At 49.2% G+C, this 20,952-nt stretch overlaps 1 protein-coding gene across 11 annotated transcripts in view; it reads right to left on the reverse strand.

Moving 5' to 3' along the window:
- Positions 1-20,952, reverse strand: part of PLXNA4 (plexin A4) — a 525,349-nt gene that overhangs the window by 362,488 nt on the left and 141,909 nt on the right. For all 11 annotated transcript variants that reach the window (XR_927546.3, NM_001393897.1, XM_017012779.1 and 8 more), the window contains one exon: positions 3,465-3,647. Coding sequence is in view for 10 of the 11 variants with exons in the window: in NM_001393897.1 (NP_001380826.1) it covers positions 3,465-3,647 (183 nt within the window). In the remaining variant the exon portion in view is untranslated. The remainder of the gene's footprint in view (positions 1-3,464; positions 3,648-20,952) is intronic.

Raw genomic sequence — 20,952 nt, forward strand, 5'->3', positions numbered from 1 at the left:
CACTTTCCTCACCTCCTTTCCCCCCGCTTCATGTGACGTGTGCACTAAAGGAGTGAAATTACGGTCGTCAAAGACAAGGTTGCAAATGATTGGGACTCATGCCTTTCAAGCAAAATAAAAAGTAATTTTGAGAGCAGCCCACGGATAGCTCGGTCTAGCTCCTGGACCCCTGAAACCCACAGCAAACACCCTTACTCTTAGCATCCCCCCAAGCTCTCTCCTGCCCACCTACCCCCATTTCCAGTCTCTTGTCATACCGTAAAGAACTCTGAAAGGTCCTTGATACACACAGGAGATTATTACAGGGCTCAGAGAAACCAACTCTGTAATTATGGCTACAGTATGATTTCCATTATTCTCACGCCCTGGCCTCAGTCACTTGCAAAACTTCCAGCAAAATCCTCCTGCAGCTCCACAACTTGTCACGGCTGGGCCTCTGCCCAAAAGGTGACTGTGGTCCTGATAACCTCTGGGAAAAGCAAGTCAGAATTATTACAAGGAAAGGGGAGTGGTGCTTAGTGAGTGAGTGGGGGTGGGGAATTCTATTGTTCAAGAAAAAATAAATAAATGGGCCACTTTTGCTTTTTATTATTTCAAACAACAGACTCGGCAGCCCAGCCTTCCTTTCCCAACTCAGACTGTTCCCCTGGGCCAGCTGTGCTGAGTCTGCAGGCACGGGAGCCGGGCTTGAGCAAAACCATTAAAAGGCTGCCACTCCAAGCCTGCAGAGCAGAAAGTTTGGCCGCCCCAGTGGCCTGGCTTTCCCCGGGAGGACCGAAGGCTCATTCCCCCCAACTGACCCTTGCGCTCTTACCTTTCAAATGTTTATGCCTCACCAGCCCCACCACTGCTCTGGAAATTAGATAGAATATCCCAGGTGGCTGAAACAGAACTGTTCTTATATCAACCTACCAAAGTAAAAGATGGGAATGCCGGCCGCGGTTTATGAAGCCCCAGCCTCTTGGTGGGGTATTGCCTGTGTCACCTGTCACTGCCTGCCTGACCGACTGCTGGACTCTGTCCTTACCTGCCTCAGGAGGGTTGTCTCTGAGCGCCTTGCTGGCCCAGGCTCCTGGGGGTGTCCTGATCCCAAACTCATGGTGCTGCACTTGACCTCCCTGTCGGGGAACAGATTTGGACAGGCTTCCACAGGCAAGAGAGTACCAGTCACCAAATGCCTCAACCCACCCTTGGACAAACAGCACAAAAATGCAAGTTGACTATCTTGGGTTTACAATGCAGCCATGGTCAGGAAACACCTTCCTTTTTCCAAGAGAAAATAACTGTTTTGTTATGTGCACTGAACTCTCAATGTTCATTTCATTGATAACATTCACTGCCCAACCAGCTCAGACAATCACACACACACACAAATCCTCATCCAGGGTCTACTCCATCCTGCCAGCTAGTAAATGGTCCTCTGGCAGCTGGTAGGAAATTCAGCGGGTAAGACTCTTTTAGGGCAAGGCAGGAAGTTACTTCTACATTGCACTGAGATTGAGCTCACCGGAGAAAAGAGTTAAAGCATCCCCCATACTGCTTGCTGACTTATTTACTCTTAATGGTGCTCATTCACCCATTGCAGCAGGTGAAGCAGGTCTCAGTGCATGAATTGTACACAGTAATGCCCCCGGTATTTAGAATTCACTTTTCCAGCAGACCAAATTTGCCAAATCCTACTGAAGAATCGAGCCATCTGATTCACCTGCCCAAAAGCTCATGTACTTCTCTCCTCAGTGTGGACTGACGCGTGTCAGACACAATTTCAGAGTTTGGCTATCTGGTTTCCTAGCCCACCAAAGCTGGAAGCTGCAGAATGAGGGAGGAGGAAAGGTGCTGAAGTCAACCAGGATTCCTGGCAGCAACTGGAAGTGATGAGTGGCCAAGTGCATGAGAGGAAGACCCGGGAAGGCAGCAAAAATCAGACACAGGAGCTGTGTGGGGATAACATGCCCATGTCTCACAGCGTCTTCCCTGGGCATCCACAAAACTCAGTTCAATATGTGAACAAAAATCACGAGGAGTCTGAGGCAGCAAGGAAAGATTCCATTGCGCTTACCATTTTCTTCACAGAACGGAGGTATGAAATACAATTCTTTGCAGGGAATTATGAAATACAATTCTTAAAAATGTGTACACAATGATTTTGCTGTTTTTTAGTTGTGACACTGAAGGCGGTCCACTCAAATTAGGCAGTTACTTCCTCCTGGGCAGCACCTGCTGTGTGGTACATCATGGACACCATTCTTGCAGAGTACCATGGTGTTTCCCCAGTGCTCATTGTTTTCTTTCCCAGTCATTACCCATAGAATTACTCCACACACAAGTTCCCAAGTCACAAACACACTCTGGGGTGCCCGCCTCTTGTCCTCCACATGCTCCCATTCCAGACACACCACCTGTCCGCAGAGATGCCAACAGAAATGATTGCTGGGCTGTTACATTGTTGGATGGTAAAATAGGCATAGTCCTCTAAATATGCCCAGAACATTTCCTCTTGACCATCCAGAGCTAGCAGCCAGAAATACAGCAAAGGGAAATGGAGGGATTAAGGCTTAGTCTCAATCTTTACTCAATCTGAATCACACAATGTCCAGAGAACCCCAAAAGAAGCCAAAATAAAGCAAGCAAGAGCTCCACATGGAATCATCAATATTTCCTGGGAAAGGACTAAAATGCAATTATTGGCCAACAGGAAACAGGACCTCCTGCCTACCACCTTAGAAGGACTTTTAACCCAATCAAGAAGGGCATGCACTATAGGGCCAGTTCCAACTCATGAGATGAGAAGCCTGAACACAAAACATCCCTGGGCGGATGACTGCTCCCAACACAGCTGATGAGCCAAGATCGCCCAGGACTCCAGAACCTGCCAGCTTCCGGAAGATGCAGGGGAAAGGTCAGGTCCCCAGATCATACCATCTGACCTCACCAGAGCAATTTTCATGTTCCCATTGCACCCGTGGTTTTCTCAGCCCACAACTTGGCTCTGGGCCCCATTTGCAACTTTAATAGGTCTGCACTTTCCTCCATCTGTTCCCTGAATGCATTCCAGATGATGCAGCAGCCAGAAGGGCTGGAGCAAGGGGAACAGGCATGTCCCTTCCCCCTGCCCACCTTCCCCAATTGCTCAGACCTAATAAAGCCTTTGCCTTAAGGGCACAAGCCCAAATTGAACACAGCATACACCATTTAGAACAACACTGCAAGGCTGGTCTGACACCTCTCATGTGCACACCAGCTCTAGGGAGGAGGTGAATCCACACACTCACCCCACAACCTCAGCACAGAGGCAGAGAAAGGACAAGATGATCATCATGACCTCAACAGCAGCGTATCTCCTTAGCTCAAATCTGTATCACCTGCCCACACGCCCAAGTTAGCAAAAAGATGTAAGATAACATCCAGCCCAGGAGGGACAGACTGTCTTCACAGTAACCAAAAGTACTGCACCTCATTCCTACCTTCTTCAGCTTGCCACTTTTGGTGCCCACAAAGGCCAGAGAGTGGTTCTTGTAGACATATGCGATGACAGACGTCATGCGGTCCCTGTCCTCCGTGAAGACGGGAATTCCACGCACCATGTCGGACACTCCCAGGGGAGCATTCATGTCCAGGCCACAGAAGTTATCGTCAATGGTTAAGAGCTGCAAATTTTAAAAAGAGAAAAATTAGAAGGGAGCGTCAAGGAAATTGGCAGAGATATTAAGTCAGGAAACTATGGAGGTAGAAGAATCCTTAGAGATGAAACATCTGGTAACAATCCCTCTTTTTTACATGAAAAACGTCACTCCAGAGAAACTAGGTGACCTGTGAAGAGTCACCTGAGTGGGCAGGTGCAGGGACATGGCAGAAAACACAGGTCCGCAGGTCTCCTTTCTCCATAATCTGTGTGTCTCTGCCCCTCATCCAACCCCTCCCAGCGCCATCTTGGGAGCTTTGTCCATCATTATTATCATCATCATCCTCACGTGGAAAAGCCTCACGTGGAAAAGCCCTGGGTCAGCCCAGATGAGCAGGGGCTCCAGGCCGCTCTGCTCAGGCACAAGAGGGATGTGGTCTCCGTATCTATACACAAAGAGGAATGTGGTCTTCGTATCTATACAGAAGAGGGATGTGGTCTCCATATCTGGAGCAGACACACACATGAGGACTCAAAAGTGTAGACTAGGGAACTGAAAACATTAGCATGTAAGTAGCACTATCACAACAGAGGCATGTGCAGGCAATCAGCTGGGGAAAGGAGCAATGGGGGAAGGAATGTGCTGATTCAACTCAATGTGCCACAGCTGGTGCTTTATGAGCTCCGACCTCAGGCTCCCTGTGTCTTTTAGAGCATTGTGAAGAAGGGCAGCCCTGGCCCTGCCATGCCTACACCAGCACTTCCCAAAGTGCCATCCATGGAAACCCAGGTCCCCGATATGCTCTACAGATAAAAGGGCTCTGCAGGCAAATTTCTAGGAAGCCTTTTAACACCATCTAAGAGATTCATAACGATTAGTTACATGAAAGGTCTGAAAAGTATTTTTAAGAAAAAGTATGTTTAACCTTATCTCAGCCTCTCCTAAACATTTTATTCACTGAACCTTTTCTTCCTTTTTTTTTTTTTTTTTTTTGAGACAGGGTCTCACTCTGTCACCCAGGCTGGAGTGCAGTGACATGATAATGGCTCACTGCAGCCTTGACTTACCAGGCTCAAGCGATCCTCCAACCTCAGCCTCCCAAGTAGCTGGGACCACAAGCATGTGCCACCATGCCTGGCTAAATTTTTGTATTTTTTGTAGAGACAGTATTTCATCATGTTACCCAGGCTGGTGTCAAACCCCTGAGCTCAAGCAACCACCACCCTCAGCCTCCCGAAGTGCTAGCATTACGGGTGTGAGCCCTTGCACCCAGCTGCTAAACCATTTTGACTGCAACACCTACTAGTGTTCCTTAAAGAGAATATTCTCCAGATATCCTGTGAGATACTGACCCTGACTCGCTTGCTCCTGACTCCAGGAAGTATAATTTCAGAAGTCAGGAAGCTTTGGGGCCAGTTCCCCCACTGTATTTCCAGTGGAATCTCTCTTTTTTATACCAGGCCATCAGGTCCCCCTTGAAACAGAGGGTCTCAGCTGGGCTCTGGGGTGCTGGGGAGTGGTGAAGACCCTGGTAGTAGCTGGTGAAAAGCCCTCGGCACTCCCCACAAGCAGCTTGGGTCTCACACACACACCCCTCTGGGGTGAATTTTCCACCGTGTCTTGGAAGGGCTATGTGGTCTCAGAAGAGTTACTCCGTTTTCCTGTGCTTTTATTTTCTGCTCTATAAAGATGACGGAAACAATCCCCGCTCTTTGATGGGCTACCATAAAGCCTATTGCACTCGTGCCTGTAAATGTCTTTGGACTTTGCAGAGAAAGGGGTGAAATAAAATACAAGGTGTCACTTTTTTAAAGGCTTCAATCCAGCCAAAGGAAAGGGCATCTGGAGAACAGCAGGCAGGCTCTTGCCAGGGAGTGTGTGAAACCAGGCCACAGGCGTTCACCTGGCCCCAGCAGGCTCCTCCACTCCCTCCCAGAAGAGGTGCGGGCAGGCACTGTCCCTCCAGAGAAGGTGACCTGCTCAGCATCTGAAGCCTCTCTGATGGCTCCCCTTCTTCCTACAGAGTAGGGACAGTCAGAGCGAAAACGGGGAGAGCGTGGGCAAGCCTGAGCAGGCCACGTGTAGAGCAGACATCCACTCCAGGCCTTTGATAGCCTCTGGCCTCTCTTGCGTGGCCTGGTCCACCAGCCCAGGCCAAACACAGCTCTCTCCCCTTCCCTTAAAAGAAAAAAAAAAAGAAAAATTATTGACCAGGCATGGTGACTCATGCCTGTAATCCCGCCAGAGGCAGGCAGATCATCTGAGGTCAGGAGTTCGAGACCAACACTGTCTCTACTAAAAAAACAAACAAAAAATTATAGGAGTCAAATTTACAAGGGAGTGTTCAAGATTTAGTCTGATCTTTACCATTTTTCCCTAAATAAGGAGATGGGGAAGGAGACAGGAGGCAGAGGGTTAAAGGGAGGAGTAGAAGAAAGGAAGGACAAATCCAGGCAAAGGGGAGAAGATGCCCTGTGCCTGCTGGATATGACCATGGCAACCTGCCAGGCCTTCCAAGGGCAGCCTGGGGTGCTAGGGGTCCTCGTGGCCCTTGAATGTTCCTGCTTCTGGTTCACAAGGAGTTCGCATCCCCAAATTTCTCAGGCCTAAACTGTGCTGCAGGGACCTCTGGCGTCGCAAACTCTGTACATCACCCATTATGATCCATTTTCTGAGTAGATGTGGCTGAATGATTGTTCACACTGCACAGGGTGGGGACACTGAGGCAGGGACAAAGGGAGTCCTTGTTTCACAGTTCCCCACCACCTCTGCCACAAACATAGGCCTCATTAGCCTGAGGAGGCTTCAGGCCTCTCAGCTCCCAAAATTGCATTTCTGAGGGGTCAGGATTACTGAATACGATTCTTCCCCTTGGCTGGGCACGACAGAAGGACATCAACAGCCACGTACAAAAAGAGAGTATACATTTGGCTGGTTACATCATTCACTAACCAGAAAGTCAGGGACCTGTGACTCTCTTCCTCTGCAGAACCTCTTGAAGCAAGAAGCCCAGGCAAGATCTGGGACAATGACAGATTTCTCCCTAAGTTTCCCCGTGGCTTGGCTTCTCTCTCTCTGAATGGGGCCCCAAGTGATAAAGGTGCCATTGAGTCCTTTGACCAAGCACCGTCCAGGTCTTCATGATTGCTGAGGTCCCCAGCTGTGGCAGGAGGTGGCCCTGCTCTTTGTTTCCTTGAATCTGGGGTGATGGGGGAGGGATTTTTAAGATTGAAACAGTGGAAAAATCACAGGACTTGGGTTCAAATGGCAGCTCAGCTGCTTCCCAATTGCACAACTTGCTCCTACTGTTCTGTAACCTGACTTTCCTTGGCTATAGAGCGGGTAAGCTTATTGGAGCGATGGCACCTGGTGAGCTGGGAAGCACTTCAATGTAAGATATTTCATGTTGATTTTTTGTGTATAGAAATCCTGCCTGGAACAGGGGTAGAATGGCTGCAGGGTGTGGCCCTAGCATGCCTCTTGACCACAGCATGCACTGCAAACACAGTATGCATTGCTGGGTCTGAGCTGAAACCACCAGCTAATTACAGTACCTGAAGCAGGGGGAGGGAGGGTCCCCCAGGGCCTGTAGACCTGGGAGGTGGACATGTAGAGAACAGATGCCAGGGCTGCCTGGGCCCGGGAAGGTGAGGCTAATTGGTGAAAGCCTTCAACAGGTGAGGGTTGATGTGGCTTCCTGAGCACCTGGGTGATGGGGGAAGAGAATGTTTGCTCCAGCCCTGGCTGAGCCTTCCCCTGGGCCCCATTAACAGTGAGATTAGAGCCACAGCCAGAGGAGCCAGGTCTGGACTCTGCTATTATCAGGAGCCCAGCCATGCCCTAGGCCTGGGGCTGGCCTCCTGTCACTCCACAAATACACAAAATGTTTGGCCATGGTTATGATAACCCTTGTTTATTAGAGAGCAACTCTACTCTCACAAGGAAAGGAAATAAGCACCCATTAAATGAGAATTTATATGGAGCCCATTTGGACAACCCTGTGGACAGACCTAGAAGCCCTGAGAGGGCCACACTCTCTGGGTCCCTATCCAGAGGACTCTGGATCTTTTTTCACTGGCTCAAATGTCCTCATAGAATGCATGGGGTACAAATTAAGATGGCTGATCCACTGTGCTCCAAGGACTATGAGCTCAAGGACAGGGGCCACGTTTTATGCATCTTTGTACCCCTAGCTTAGTGCCTGGCTTATAATAGGCTAATACAATGGATGGATAGATGGATGGATGGATAGGTGGATGGATGGATGGATGGGTGGATGGGTGGATGGGTGGATGGGTGGATGGATGGATGGATGGATGGATGGATGGATGGATGGATGGATGGTTCGTTGGACAGATAGATAAATAAAAGCCTGAGCTTCACAGTGGCTAACAGTACTGAACCAGAACCAAAGTGCTTAGGTTTGAATCCCAACTCTGCCACTTAATCCTGTGTGACCTTGAGAAAGTCACTTAACCTCCCTGTGCCTTAATTTGTTACCTGTAGAATGGGGATTATTACAATAGTACATACTTTGTTGTACTGTGGTGAGGATTAAATAATTTAAAACATATAGAACAATGTTTGGCACTTAGTTCTATGGGAGTGTTCACTCTTGTTGTTTGTTGTCATTAGATGGGTCAGATGACCTCTGCGGTTCTCAGCATCTTTGAGGAAATTCATGGTATCTATCTCAGAGGTATCATGAAAATTAAAGGGGCTAATGTTGTGAAGATGAAATAGCAAAGGTAGTTCTTCCCAAATATCTTCCAGAATCCGATAGACATTTGGTCACAAAGCTGACTGAAGGAGCAGGGGAATGGTCTCAGATCCAGGAGACTGAGCGCTATTCATTAGAAATGCAAATTCTTGAGCTCCACCCCAGACATATTGGATTAAAAAGTCTTGGGTGGGGGCTCAGACATCTTCATCTTCACACCTCTCCAGGTGATTCCAACCCCCTCTTGCTAAGGTTTGAGAAGCACTGGCCTGGATCACCATGGAGGGCCCTTCCTAGCTGAGGGCACTACAGAACACAGCATGTGCCTAGCATCCCGACTCGGGAGCAGGACCCTGAGCTGGACCTGGATGCAGAGAGCCCTCACAGCAGCCTCCCCAGGGGCCTGCCACGCAGTGTGGTGGTGGTGGAGGTGGTGTGGGGAGCTGGAGCTGACACTCCGAATTACAATCTAATAGCTTATGGCGCTTCCCTCGTGCACCGCAGCAAAGGTTACCGTGCAATTACGTGTCGCCACATACAAATGACAGAGCAGTTACGGTTACTTTACCAATTACAGGGAAATTGCTCCCACTCTGCAGAGAGATTGGCACTCTGAAAAGCTCTATCATCTCCATGAAAAGGGGATTTTAAATGCAGACGGTTTCCTTCCTCCAGCAGTTCCCCAGGCTCAGGGGCAGAGCTGCAAAGCCACTGCCACTGCCCAAGGACCCCAGAAGTGCCTGGTAGTCTCTGTGGAGACTCCCTGGGAAGGGCTGGAGGAGGAGGTAGACCTGGGGAACAGTGGGGGGATCTCCCCAAGAACTCTAGACATCACCCCCAACCCTAGGCCTCAATGACACACTCTTAAGGAACCAACTATCACCCACTCTGACAGCCACATCAATCCATCTTGAAGGCAGCAGGTGATGAGGCGGGGTGGGCCCCTGATCCCCAAATCCTCCCCTGACCCCAGCCTGCACAGCCCCTGGTGTGAGTCCTGATTGCACCTCCTCTGCCAAGCAAAGCTGTTTTAGCCCCGGCCCTGGCTTGCCCCACCTTTGCAGAAACCTCACATTGAGTCCTTATTACAGAAAGGTCAGAACCAAGCCAGAGCTCAATGGCCCAAATGCAGTGCTAATGAGGTGAAGGTCAGCAGGTCCATCCCCCTGTGGGCCAATTAGCTTAGCTCTGGGACACAGTCTCTTCCATAGCCACAGGCTGCCCTCTTACTGCAGGCATCCACTGTTTACAAACATCCTAAGCTGATCCTGAAGAGGCAGACCAGGTGACCAGCAGGGATGTGCCATGCAGCCAACTCCTCCAGCCACCTATGTACCTGCCCTGCTGCTCTGGGGCAGCAGCAGCCATCTGAGCCCCAGGATGGAAGACAAAATCAGATCTGGTCTTCCCATTGCTCTGTGGGCAACTCCTGTGGTCCAGGAGAGAGAGGATTTCTCCCATCTGGGAGAAAACCAGCTCTCCTGCCCTTCCTGAATGGAAAAGTATCATCTAGCCTCATACTCCTCCACAGCTGGGAAGTCCCCACTCCTGTCCGTTGCATAGGGTAAGAAGACATCAGAGATTTTCCCAAGCTCACCCATGGTGGGGCCAACTGGATCTTTAGACCAACCTTTTCCCACCAAACCTTTGGTTCCTTGGGCTATTGGAACTCCCTGCGTTCAGCAAGGGAAATAGGCACTAGATGAAGACAAGGCTATTTACTTTTCCTCACTTACTAATTTGCTTAAGAGCATTTATGAAAAACCTACTAAGCCCCAAGCACTAGGTGAGCCCCTAAGAATAGAAAGATGAAAAAGTCTCAGTTCCTGCCCCAAAGAACTGCCTCTTTCCCAGTGTGGGGATGGACAGACCTGGGCCATGACTAGACAAAGCCATCTGGGCCCTGCTTCAGTTATGTGCCTGGGGGAGTCCAGAGAATGGACCACCAACTGCCTTGGGGAGCAGGCATGACTTTGAGGAAGAGGCGAGGTCTGGGCTCACGTCCAAGTTCTCTGGCTTATGAAACAGTATTCTGCCCCTCTTTCACACATCATATTTCAGATGCGGAAAATAACTCAGGATCATAAAATCCAACAGCCCCATTTTACAGAAGGGGCCACTGGGGCCTGGAGAGTGAGGTGCCTCCCCTAGTTACCTATCAAGTTGCTGAGAAAATAGGTACCAAAACCCCAAATTCCTGGTGACAGAAAAAACAAAACAAAACAAAACAAAAAAGCCTGATTTTTTTTTTAGATGGAGTCCTGCTCTGTTACCAGGGTGGAATGCAGTGGCACAATCTTGGCTCACTGCAACCTCCACCCGCCAGGTTCAAGCAATTCTCCTGCCTCAGCCTCTTGAGTAGCTGGGATTACAGGCACCTGCCACTACACCCAGCTAATTTTTTTATTTTTAGTAGAGACGGGGTTTCACTATGTTGGCCAGGCTGGTCTTGAACTCCTGCCCTTGTGATCCGTCCACCTTGGCCTCCCAAAATGCTGAGATTATAGGCATGAGCTACCACACCTGGCTAAAAAACTGATCTTAAGCACGGGTTTCCTCTGGGGTTGTTAGAGGGTGGTCCCAAAGACAATCTATTCCAGGATCAGAGGAAGGCAGGGGACTGCTGGGGAAGAGACTATGTGTCCAGTCCCTTTCCCAGCACCAGGGATGAGTGCTCTGCCATCTCCAGAAACTGGAAGCAACCAACTCTCCCCTCCCAAGGAGGCCCCTGACCACTCACTTAAGCTGGGCTTCTTCCTTTCCTGGGTCTGTGCATCCCAAAGGAAAGTGAGAAATGACGTTTTGAAAAGAAATTCAAGTTAGGAGAAAAAGGGAAGGGAAGCCCATGAGCTGCCTATTGATACAGAAAAGAAAAGGTCTTTATATTCTTCATGTTGAGCAGCCCTAAATTTCTTCCCATTAATTACACTTATGCACACTTGTGCACGCACGCACACACACACACACACACACATACACATATCCTGGTTGCTGACCATAGCACACCTCCACTGGAAATGGGGAATCAGTGAATTACACATGTGGGATTTCTTTTTAAAGGGAGATATTGATCAGATAAACTGTAATAGCTCATGTCTAAATGCAGGCTCCAGTTGTAAAGCTCTGCAGTACAGGGAGATAATGATCACCCACTTATTGGGAACCGTATCTCAAATATGACGGCTGACCCCTAAGGTGTTCATAAATACACAAAATGCATCCACCCCTTGAGATGACATCGTGTTTACTCCACAATACCTCCTCAGGGGTAGAGGTAAGTGGAGAGTGTCCACAGGGAGGTAGAAATATCTCTGGGAGTCTCTAGTAGGCTTAGGTTTAGCTCCTCAGAAAGCCTATTATTCTATAAGATATTTCCATGTGCTTGAGTGATGATTCTGTAACAAAGAAATCAAAAAGACCTGACTATCCAATCCTCTGATTGCTTTCCTGTAATGCCTAAACTTTCTCTTTTATGACTCCTAGCCCTCCCCAGAAGGTCTGCCTTCAGACACGTGACATTGAGACACAGGACCCACGCTGGCCCTATGAGATTGAAGTCTCTTGAAAGCAAGCCAGAGAAGTCCTATAATAGGTGAAAGTTGACCCCTGCACCCTGGTTGTGAGCACAGGCCATGGAAACAATGCTGGAGTGAGGGCTCATACACTCAGTTACTAATGCTTCATCTCAGAATGATTCTTTCGGGTGTCTTTTTCAATGAGATTGTAGGGAAAACGAATGTGTAACAGAAAGAGGGAGAGCCAGCAAGCCACAGTCACAACAACCCAGTTAGACAAACACATCATTGCAGGGGCTTAGAGAAAAGTGTATTGGGGTTGGAAAAACAACCCAACAAATTATAGTAGTTCCCCTGATCCTTGGCTTCACTTTCCATGGTTTCAGTTACCGCAGCTTCAGATCAACCACTGCCCAAAAATAGAAGAGTAGAGCACAATAAGGGATTTTTGAGAGACAGAGGAGACAATGTTCACATAATTTTTATTATAGTATACTGTCATAACTGTTCTATTTTATGATTATTATTACTGTTAATCTTTTACTGTGCCTAACTGATAAATTAAAGTTTATTATAGGTATGTATGTATATTAGTCCATTTGCTGATAAAGACATACTGGAGACTTGGAAGAAAAAGTTTGATGGACTTACATTTCCACGTGGCTGGGGAGGCCTCACAATCATGGCAGAAGGCAAGGAGGAGGAAGACAGGTCTTACACGGATGGCAGCAGGCAAAAAGAGAGAGTGTGTGCAGGGAAACACCCCCTTATAATATCCTCAGATCTCATAAGACTTATTCACTATCACGAAAACAGCACAGGAAAGTCCTGCCCCCATGATTCAATTACCTCCCACCAGGTCCCTCCCACAACATGTGGGACTTCAAGATGAGATCTGGATGGGGACATAGCCAAACCATGAGAGTATGCATGGGAAAAAACACGGTATATATGGGGTTTGGGACTATCTGTGGTTTCAGGCATCCACTGGGGGACTTGGAAAGCATCTCCCAAGGATAAGTGGGGACTATCATATGGCCCCAGTTCTCAAGAACCAAGAGCTTTGCTTCTGGGCATCTCAAAAAGGAGGAGAGCAGACCAGAAAACAGGATAGAAAGTCATTGTGTTTTAGGAGGTGGGGCTGGGGATTTTGATGCAAATATTCATTAAATGAATGCATTTAACTACCTATGGAATGATGAAAGCCATTTGCTAAAAGCAACACTTCTTTTAATACTCATTTTGAAGTTTCTATGTGTGTTTTGGGACCATCTGTGGCCCAAGCCCACCAGATATCTAAGTGGTCTTTCACTCATCATGAAAACAAGCTATCCTTCTAATAGGGAACTAATGTCACTAAATTGAGCAGTTTTCCCTGGAGAAGGGCATTAAGCCAAGCACACATTCTGCAGGCCAGGCTGTAACCAATAGCGAGCTTTAGCAGTGCACCCCTTCTAGGGGTTGCTGAGCATAGCAGCCAAAGACAAGCTTCAGCTCAGAATCCTAGGGGTTGAACCCATGACCTTCTCCTCATTAGCTTAGCTGCCAAGAGCCTCGTGTTCCTCCCTCTGAGAAGCAGACAGGGCCATGCCCTGGGAATAGTCTGGACAGGCCAGAGCTCTAGGCCAGCCTACCAAGAGAATTGAAATTCTGCAGATGGCATTATCCCTGGGGGCTGGTTTAGCAACCAACACCAGACCCATGGGAAATCCCAGGGAAGTTTCTCAGCATTGCGAATGGTAACAACCAAAACCTACTGGGGTGCCACCTCTCTCCTTTTGTACTTTAGCTCCAGAGAACCCCAGTGGCTACCTGTCAGGGGCAGATAAATCCCATGCCACCAGTCCATCAATCCCAAATCCCACTGTCCCTCCTGGAGTCTATGGCAGGCAGACTCAGCAGCCACAAGGGCTGTCATTGAAGTGAGAAATACCATGATGATTAAGTTTGTGTGTTTTCTGGTGGGTGCTGGGAAGCAGTGGCCCTGCTCCCCAGGCTGAGTTATGGGGTAGGTCATTCCCTCATTAGTGGAAATAAATTTTATTAGCCCCACTCTCACGGCAATGTATCTTCCTCTCTTGCTCCTCGGGTCTAGGTGTGGGTCTGGGTAATGTTGCCTGCGTGTGGGATAAATCAGCCGAACAAATCCCATTATATTTTGGAACACTGACGGAGACACAGTAATGGCACAGAGACCAGGGAAGGGAGTGGGCTGCTTCTCTCCCACTGACCCCGTTTCCTGCCCATAGGGCCACACACACTAGGGAAAACATGTAAATTGAGAGGCCAGATGGAGAAGAGCTCTCTCAGTTGTCTCTTTCTCCTTCTCTCCACTGACTTTCTTGATAAAAGAAACAAGCCTGGTGTGGTGATGTGCAGTCCTTCCCTTATACCTTACAAAAACTAAGGGACATGTGAAGGTAACAGCAGCAAGCACTGGCCCAAAATGTGTCTTGTCACCCAAATGCATTATCTTATCATTCATAACCTGTGCTATATAGAAAGGAAGGCAATTGGAGGGAGGCCGAGGTGGGTGGATCACCTGTCAGGAGTTTGAAACCAGCTTGGCCAGCGTGATGAAACCCTGTCTGTACTAAAAATACAAAAATTAGCTGGTCGTGGTGGCGCATGCCTGTAATCCCAGCTACTCAGGAGGCTGAGGCAGGAGAATCGCTTGAACCCGGGAAGCATGGGTTGCAGTGAGCCAAGATCGCGCCATTGCACTCCACCCTGGGCAACAAGAGTGAAACACTGTCTCAAAAGAAGAAGGAGAAGGAGAAGAAGAAGGAGGGGGAGGGGAAGGGGAAGGGGAAATAATAATAATAAAGGCAGCTGGAGCACATCCTAGGGCCTGAGATACCAAACACCACACCTGCATTAAGCACAGCCCAAATCTCTCAAAAGCAGGTATTGGTGAAGGAAAAAAAATTCTAAGCATGAAATCACTGCAATATTATTACGCCCCTTTCTGTCCCCTTGGGTGGTTATTATAACTAAAGGAGGAGACACAGGATGATGCTATGAAGATGTTTGAGTGTCCTATGAATATAAGGGGCTGTGTGTCTATCGTTATTAACATCTGTATATTTCTCTTTCCTTAGGAGCTTCCGGACTCTTTATTAAAAGGATACTTTTTTATCATCTCCTTCTTGAAGATAAAATGTGTGATTCAAAGCAAAAGGGAAACTGCTTGCCCAGTGATATCTCACAAGCTGGGACTGGCTGAGACCCAAAGATCCTGACTCCTAGACCAGTAACCCGGCCAAGACGCCACCCTGTGAGGACGAAAGGAATTGAAGGGAAGGCCCAGAAGTCCAGATCTGGATTGTTAAGTAGGGCTGGTCTATGTGCCCATTGAACAAGAGGTCTGGCTTCCCATTTTGGCAGGGTTATCTCACACTGCATGAGGCGTGTGTGTGTGAGAGAGAGAAATCTCATTGTACTTGCTGCTGAGCAGAGTGTGTGGGGGTGAGGGAGAACAAGTCACAGAAATAGGGAGACAGAGAAAGGCTAAGAGAGGACCGTGCACCAAGAGTGTGAGTGAGTGAGCAAGAGGAGAGAAACAGAGAAAGCAACAGACAGCAACGAGGAGGACAGACATCAAGGACAGAAAGAATGGGTGTGTGCACATGGGTGTGCTATGGGTGTGTACGCCACTGTGCTCGGGCTCATGACATGCAGTCCATGTCTCAGTATTGTGAGAGCACACATCCTCAAACCTGACTTTGTGCTAAGCTCTCCTGGCAGCAGTCTGCGTTAAAATTCAGCCTGTGTGACTCCTGGGTCCCGCCTCACTCCCTGCTGACCCGATGGCCTCCAGGGTGGGCATCCTGGGAGAGTACATCCAGCCTAGGAAGCCAGCCTCAACTTTGCTCCTGCCAAACCCAACACATCGCCCAGGGCTCAGCTACCTGTCACACAAAGCACCATGCACACTAGTCTGGGATGGGACTTTTACTGCAAACCCTGCTGGCCAAAAAGAGGGAGGTGGGCGGGCCTTTCACCTAAATACCTGAGACAGGTGCCATCTCCGAGAGAGTGGGAAGACTTGATTCTATAAAGATTGGGGCTGTGATATGTCAGGCACCCAGTGCTAAATAAGAAATCTGGAGTACAGGGTCATGGGCCATGAGAGGTGGGCACTCAGACCAATGTGTTAGATTTTTGATGTGTGCATTTATTGGGACATGAGTGTGGCATGGGCCATGGTGTGTATGGCAAGTGTAGTGGAGATGAGAGAGGAAGGATGGTGCGGGGAAGAGGAGGAGTTCCAGGTCTAGAGAGGACAAGAGCTGAGCAGAAAAAGCAAGCCTCGTCTAATGCCATAAACAACAGGATACAACCCCATCAAGTCTGAGCCCTGTGCTTCCTGCTGACAGGGAAAAGAAAACACCCCAAGAAGACCTGCAGAAGCCAGGCCCCAGAGCCTGGGATGCCTGCCTGGCCATTCCGGATGCTCACTTTCGTGGAGTTTCAGGATCTCAGGCGCCAGACCAACCTGAGTAACCACCCAGACTGGAATGTGAGGCCAGCCCAAGTCCAAGGGGGTGACCCTGTCTCCTGCTCAGGACTGCCATGCCTAGGAAACCAGTGAGTCAAAGGAACGGCACGTGGAAGGGGACCTCCATCGCCACCCAGTCATGCACACAGCAGGGCAGGAAGGGGAGCTTTGGGTTAAAAAGAAACAGCTCCATCTCCTGTGCCTGTGTGGCCCTTGTGGGACTACACAGGGCTGGTGGGTAAACTCCAGAGTCAGGTGGGAGCTGGGTCTAGCAATGGTTCTCAACGAGAGGCTTCTGGAAATGTGAGAGGTTTTCTAGTCTTGTAGTGGCTGGGAACTTCCACTGGTGCTCAGCACTGTAGGGCCCCGGATCACAAACGCCCTACAATATCAGGCAGTCCCTGCACCAAGAACTGCCCACCCCAGACACTGCTAGCACACTCTTGTGAAACACCACGGGAAGAGCACCAAGCTGAGAATTAGGATACAGAACAGCCTTCAGTTTACTAATTACATGACCTTGAGTGAAACACTTGAGTTTTGTGTTCCTCCATTCCCTCAACTGCAGAGGATGCCTGCCCTTCCATTATCCTACAGTATTGTTGGGAGAAGAAAAGTTGTGAGAAAGCCCTTGTTAACCATCAGGTACCATGCAAACTCCAGTGTGTTATTTCCAGACAGCCGGGAGGTCTCTGCCCTCTGCTCCCACTACTGGGGTTTGACAGGTGTCAGTTGGTGATGCTGGATAATAGTTTCTGCTCCAAGGACCCAAATTTTCTAGTTGAGGGACACTCAGGTCAAGGCTTGACAGGGAGATTGAGAAGCTGATTTCTGCACCTTCTGCATGCCACCTTTCTCCACACCGCCTAATCAGTACTATGGCCGAGACTATCTGACTCCCATACCCATGGCTCAATCAGTTCCAAAGTCAGGGAAGACTGAAGTGGAGTGAATGACAGTCACTCCCATGACCACAGCCATTGTTCCCATCACCCAGGCCATAATGACCTGCTGGTGTGCATCTCTCTCCTCCACTGTGTGGGCTCCTGGAGACAGATGCCATTCCACAATGCTTGGTATCCACCAGGAGGGAGTGCATTGCCAAGCCCTTCCCTAGGGCTCCATATATGTTTCACCATTCATTAGTTTATTAAGAGGTGCTAGTTCGTTAGTGTTGGATGAGGTTGCCCCAGGAAGGTGAAGAAAGGAGAGAAGGTATAGATAACCCTATGCCTGGGGAATTCTGGGATGCCAGGTGCTTGGTCAAACCCAGCATCTTCTCCAGCCAGCTGCCCACTCCAAGTCAGGAGTGTCAGGTCCCCCCCAGAGAAGGACAGACAGCCATCACCTTCTCCTGCATAAGGTCCTGGCACATGACAGAGGCCACAGGTGTGGGCTCCCCAGCCTTACTGTCTGTCACATGCTCTGCAGACAGGGGGCCTCAGGGAGCCTGGATGGCAGCCTTCAAAAGGGGCTGGGGATAGAGATGCACCAGTGATAAGCCACAGAAACTGAGAAATGAAATCACTGCCATTCCCCACATGAGTGCTCATTAGCAAATCAGTCTCAGCTTGACCTCTAGTCCCCTGAGTCCCAAGACAATTGGGGCTCTGACAGACCCTCTAGGACCCCCCCTCATACCCATGTCCTCATGAGATCCTCAGAGTTACTTTCAGATACTAACCCACTTGTTCTGGGAGACCTCTTTCCACCCAGGCTGGAGAAAGCCAGGACAGGGGTAAAGCATGGCTCAGAGGGTGAAGGCGGAAGCTGCTGTTCCCACCCTCCACTGACACCAGAAAGCCCCAGCTGCTTCCCTAGCCTCCACACTTGGTGCCCACTCAGGAATGTACATTTGTGACAGGTTCGTTTATGTCCACAGCAACACATTCCCATGAGGAGGCCACTCCTGGCCAACCAGCCCTCATCTCCAATGGGAGCACAGCCGGCCTTCCCTGATTCACCTGAAGTTGAGGTACAGCTGAGCTCTCTGGGGGCTGCAGGTCAGCAGGTTCTACCCCAACGGCCCAAGACTTTTCCCTCTGTGCGGTCCTCAGGCTCTGGCCTGCCCAGTGCTCTGTGGATGCTCCCTGGCACAAGGGGCCTTGTAGTAGGGGTTCTTCTTCCCATTCCTTCCTATCCCCCAAATGAACACAGCCAAAGCAGGTGCTGGGACCTTGTGAAGGAGGCAGGTGGCCCAGGAGTTTTGCGGATCCCGGCTCTGAGTTCTGGAGGTGTGAGTTCAGGGGGAAGAATGTGGGTCTCAGGATGTGGAAAGGGCTAGAAAAGCCTGAAGAGCCCCATGGGAGGAGCATTCTAATTTAGAGAGCTGGTACAGCCTGGAGCACAGTTGACATTCATTGCTACTCAAATCCCTTCTTCAAGCTTTTAGAGTTGTAACTATGATAAAACCCACAGGGGACCCCTTACCCTACAAAATACAAGTCCTAAAAGCCAACCTCCTGGGCCTTGCCCTGCCCTCTGTCATCTTCCTACAACAGAAACACCACAGGACAGAGGTCATCTGGGACTGAGTTCTCAATTCACAGGGCTCAAGGGAGTGTCAGACTCCGTGACAAGAGAGATCTCCAGAGTTCATCTTGTTCATCCTCCACCTCTAGGCAGGAAGGGAACAAGAAAACCAACCCAACAGCCTTGTAAATGAGTTGAGGAAGAGCTGGGTTTGCAAATGGTGCCATCGGGGCAACACAGAGCCTGGCCTGGCCGATGTCGCACGAAACACGTGTGGTCTGAGCCGACTCCAAAGGAATCGTAACAGGAGGGTGGGAGCAAAGGAACTCGGGTATCTGCCAAATCAAAGGAAACTGATACTGTGCATTAAACACCAGCCTGGCCTTTTTCAGACTGGCTGGAGAGACAGCCCCAGGCCTGTGCAGAGTTTCTGGCCTCCTCCTTTCTACTCTCGGCCCTGAACTTGCCTGTAACTTGAAAGGGCTAATTAAAGCCAAAAGAAAAATCAAAAGCTTGTTATCTTGCTCCATTACTCCCCGTCCCGGCATTAGCCTGTCTTGCAAAGCTGTTTTCCCTCTATTCTCTCCAAGGCTACCACACGGTGTTAGGACCTGCAGCTCTGCAGACTTCCATGATGAACTTGGCTTTTTGTATTGTGGCAGGAAGCAACGGCAGCACGAACACTTGCCCATGGGCAGCCAGACGGACGCCTGCAGCTGATTTTTCTCCCAAGAGCATCGCCCAAAAAGTCAGGGTTTTAAGAAAGTTTTCTACAGGAAACTGTCAGAGATTGCCAACTCCTCTGGTCTCAAAAGAACTTGTTGTTGTTTAGTAAGTGCACAGTATAAACTTGCCGTCTTCTAACATAGGCCTGCATATGTGTGCATGCTCGTGGGGAATTTATTACATGTATGCATGTATGGGTGTCCTGCAGGCAAGGGGGATTCTCTTCAATTGGTGGCTCTGTTACTCACTCCTAAGATGTGTGACCTTGGGCAATTCATTCAGCTTGCTGAGTCTTGAGATACTCAATGCAAAATGAATTTTTAGGCCAAGGCTCTCTAAAGGCCTTCTCAACACCAACATTCTAATACATCTCACCACAGACCCATGTTTGAGTGTCTAATAGACATGTCCAGAACAGCCTCTGTCATTAGCTGCCTTCGTTTGGAAGCAGTCCATACCCCCGTAAGTTCACAGACCTGTCTCATGGACTCTCTTAAGTGGCTCCACTACTGCCCCAAACAAAGGGCTCCAGGGGCATTCCCAAAGGTTGTCACCTGCTAGGAAGACTCAGTAGATAAAGTGGAGTCCCCTCCATTCTCCAGTCTGGCTCTGATTTGTCAACTTTTTGCTGCCCTGCTTGGTCCATAGCACCTCTCCTATTTCCTTTGTGACATCAGGGAACTCCTGGATTTTCAAGACCTCCAAGAAGAGACGACATCTCTTAGTTTCAGCTGGCCCAGTGCCTGGAAGACTTGACAGTGGAAAACAGCTTAAGCCTAATGCCAGGGCACCATCTTTCTCCTCCCTCTTCCCTATCTCCAACCCAAATCCCAAAGACCAGAGTGATGGCCTCTCCACACTCTGGCTGGGGAGGGTGCCAGTCCCCACTGAGATCTGCCTGGCACATAGTTATACTTTATGAAAGGAAATTTACACTTTTTTAAACAACCAAAATACATTTCCTAATATGGAACTCCACCAAAGTTTAAGGAGTCAAGAATCACATCAGTATGGATGCGTACTTCTGTCCAATGGATACATTTTCCTTTCTTCTTCTCCCCAAATTAAAATTAGAGAATTGATGTTCTCAGACTAGGTTCATAATCTTTAAAATGCACAGTTATAAAAGGAAAAGGACAAGAACACTGAAGATGCTGATAGCTGAGCCTTCCAAGTCACCCAAAGAATGATAGTGAAAAAGCAGGACCATTGTGAAGAGGAACAGAGTCAAGCCACAAGAAGGGGGATGCTTTTCATGGTGGGGCACACGTGAGCTAGGCTGTGACAGGCAGGAGTCTGTGTCCCCTGCTTCACCTGGGGTAACCCAGCAAGGCCATACCCACCAGCCATGCGAAGACCCCTAAGCCAACCCTTCTCCTGCTCTCCCTCTGGCTC

This window comes from Homo sapiens, chromosome 7, assembly GCF_000001405.40.
Source record: "Homo sapiens chromosome 7, GRCh38.p14 Primary Assembly".
Lineage (NCBI taxonomy): Eukaryota > Metazoa > Chordata > Mammalia > Primates > Hominidae > Homo > Homo sapiens.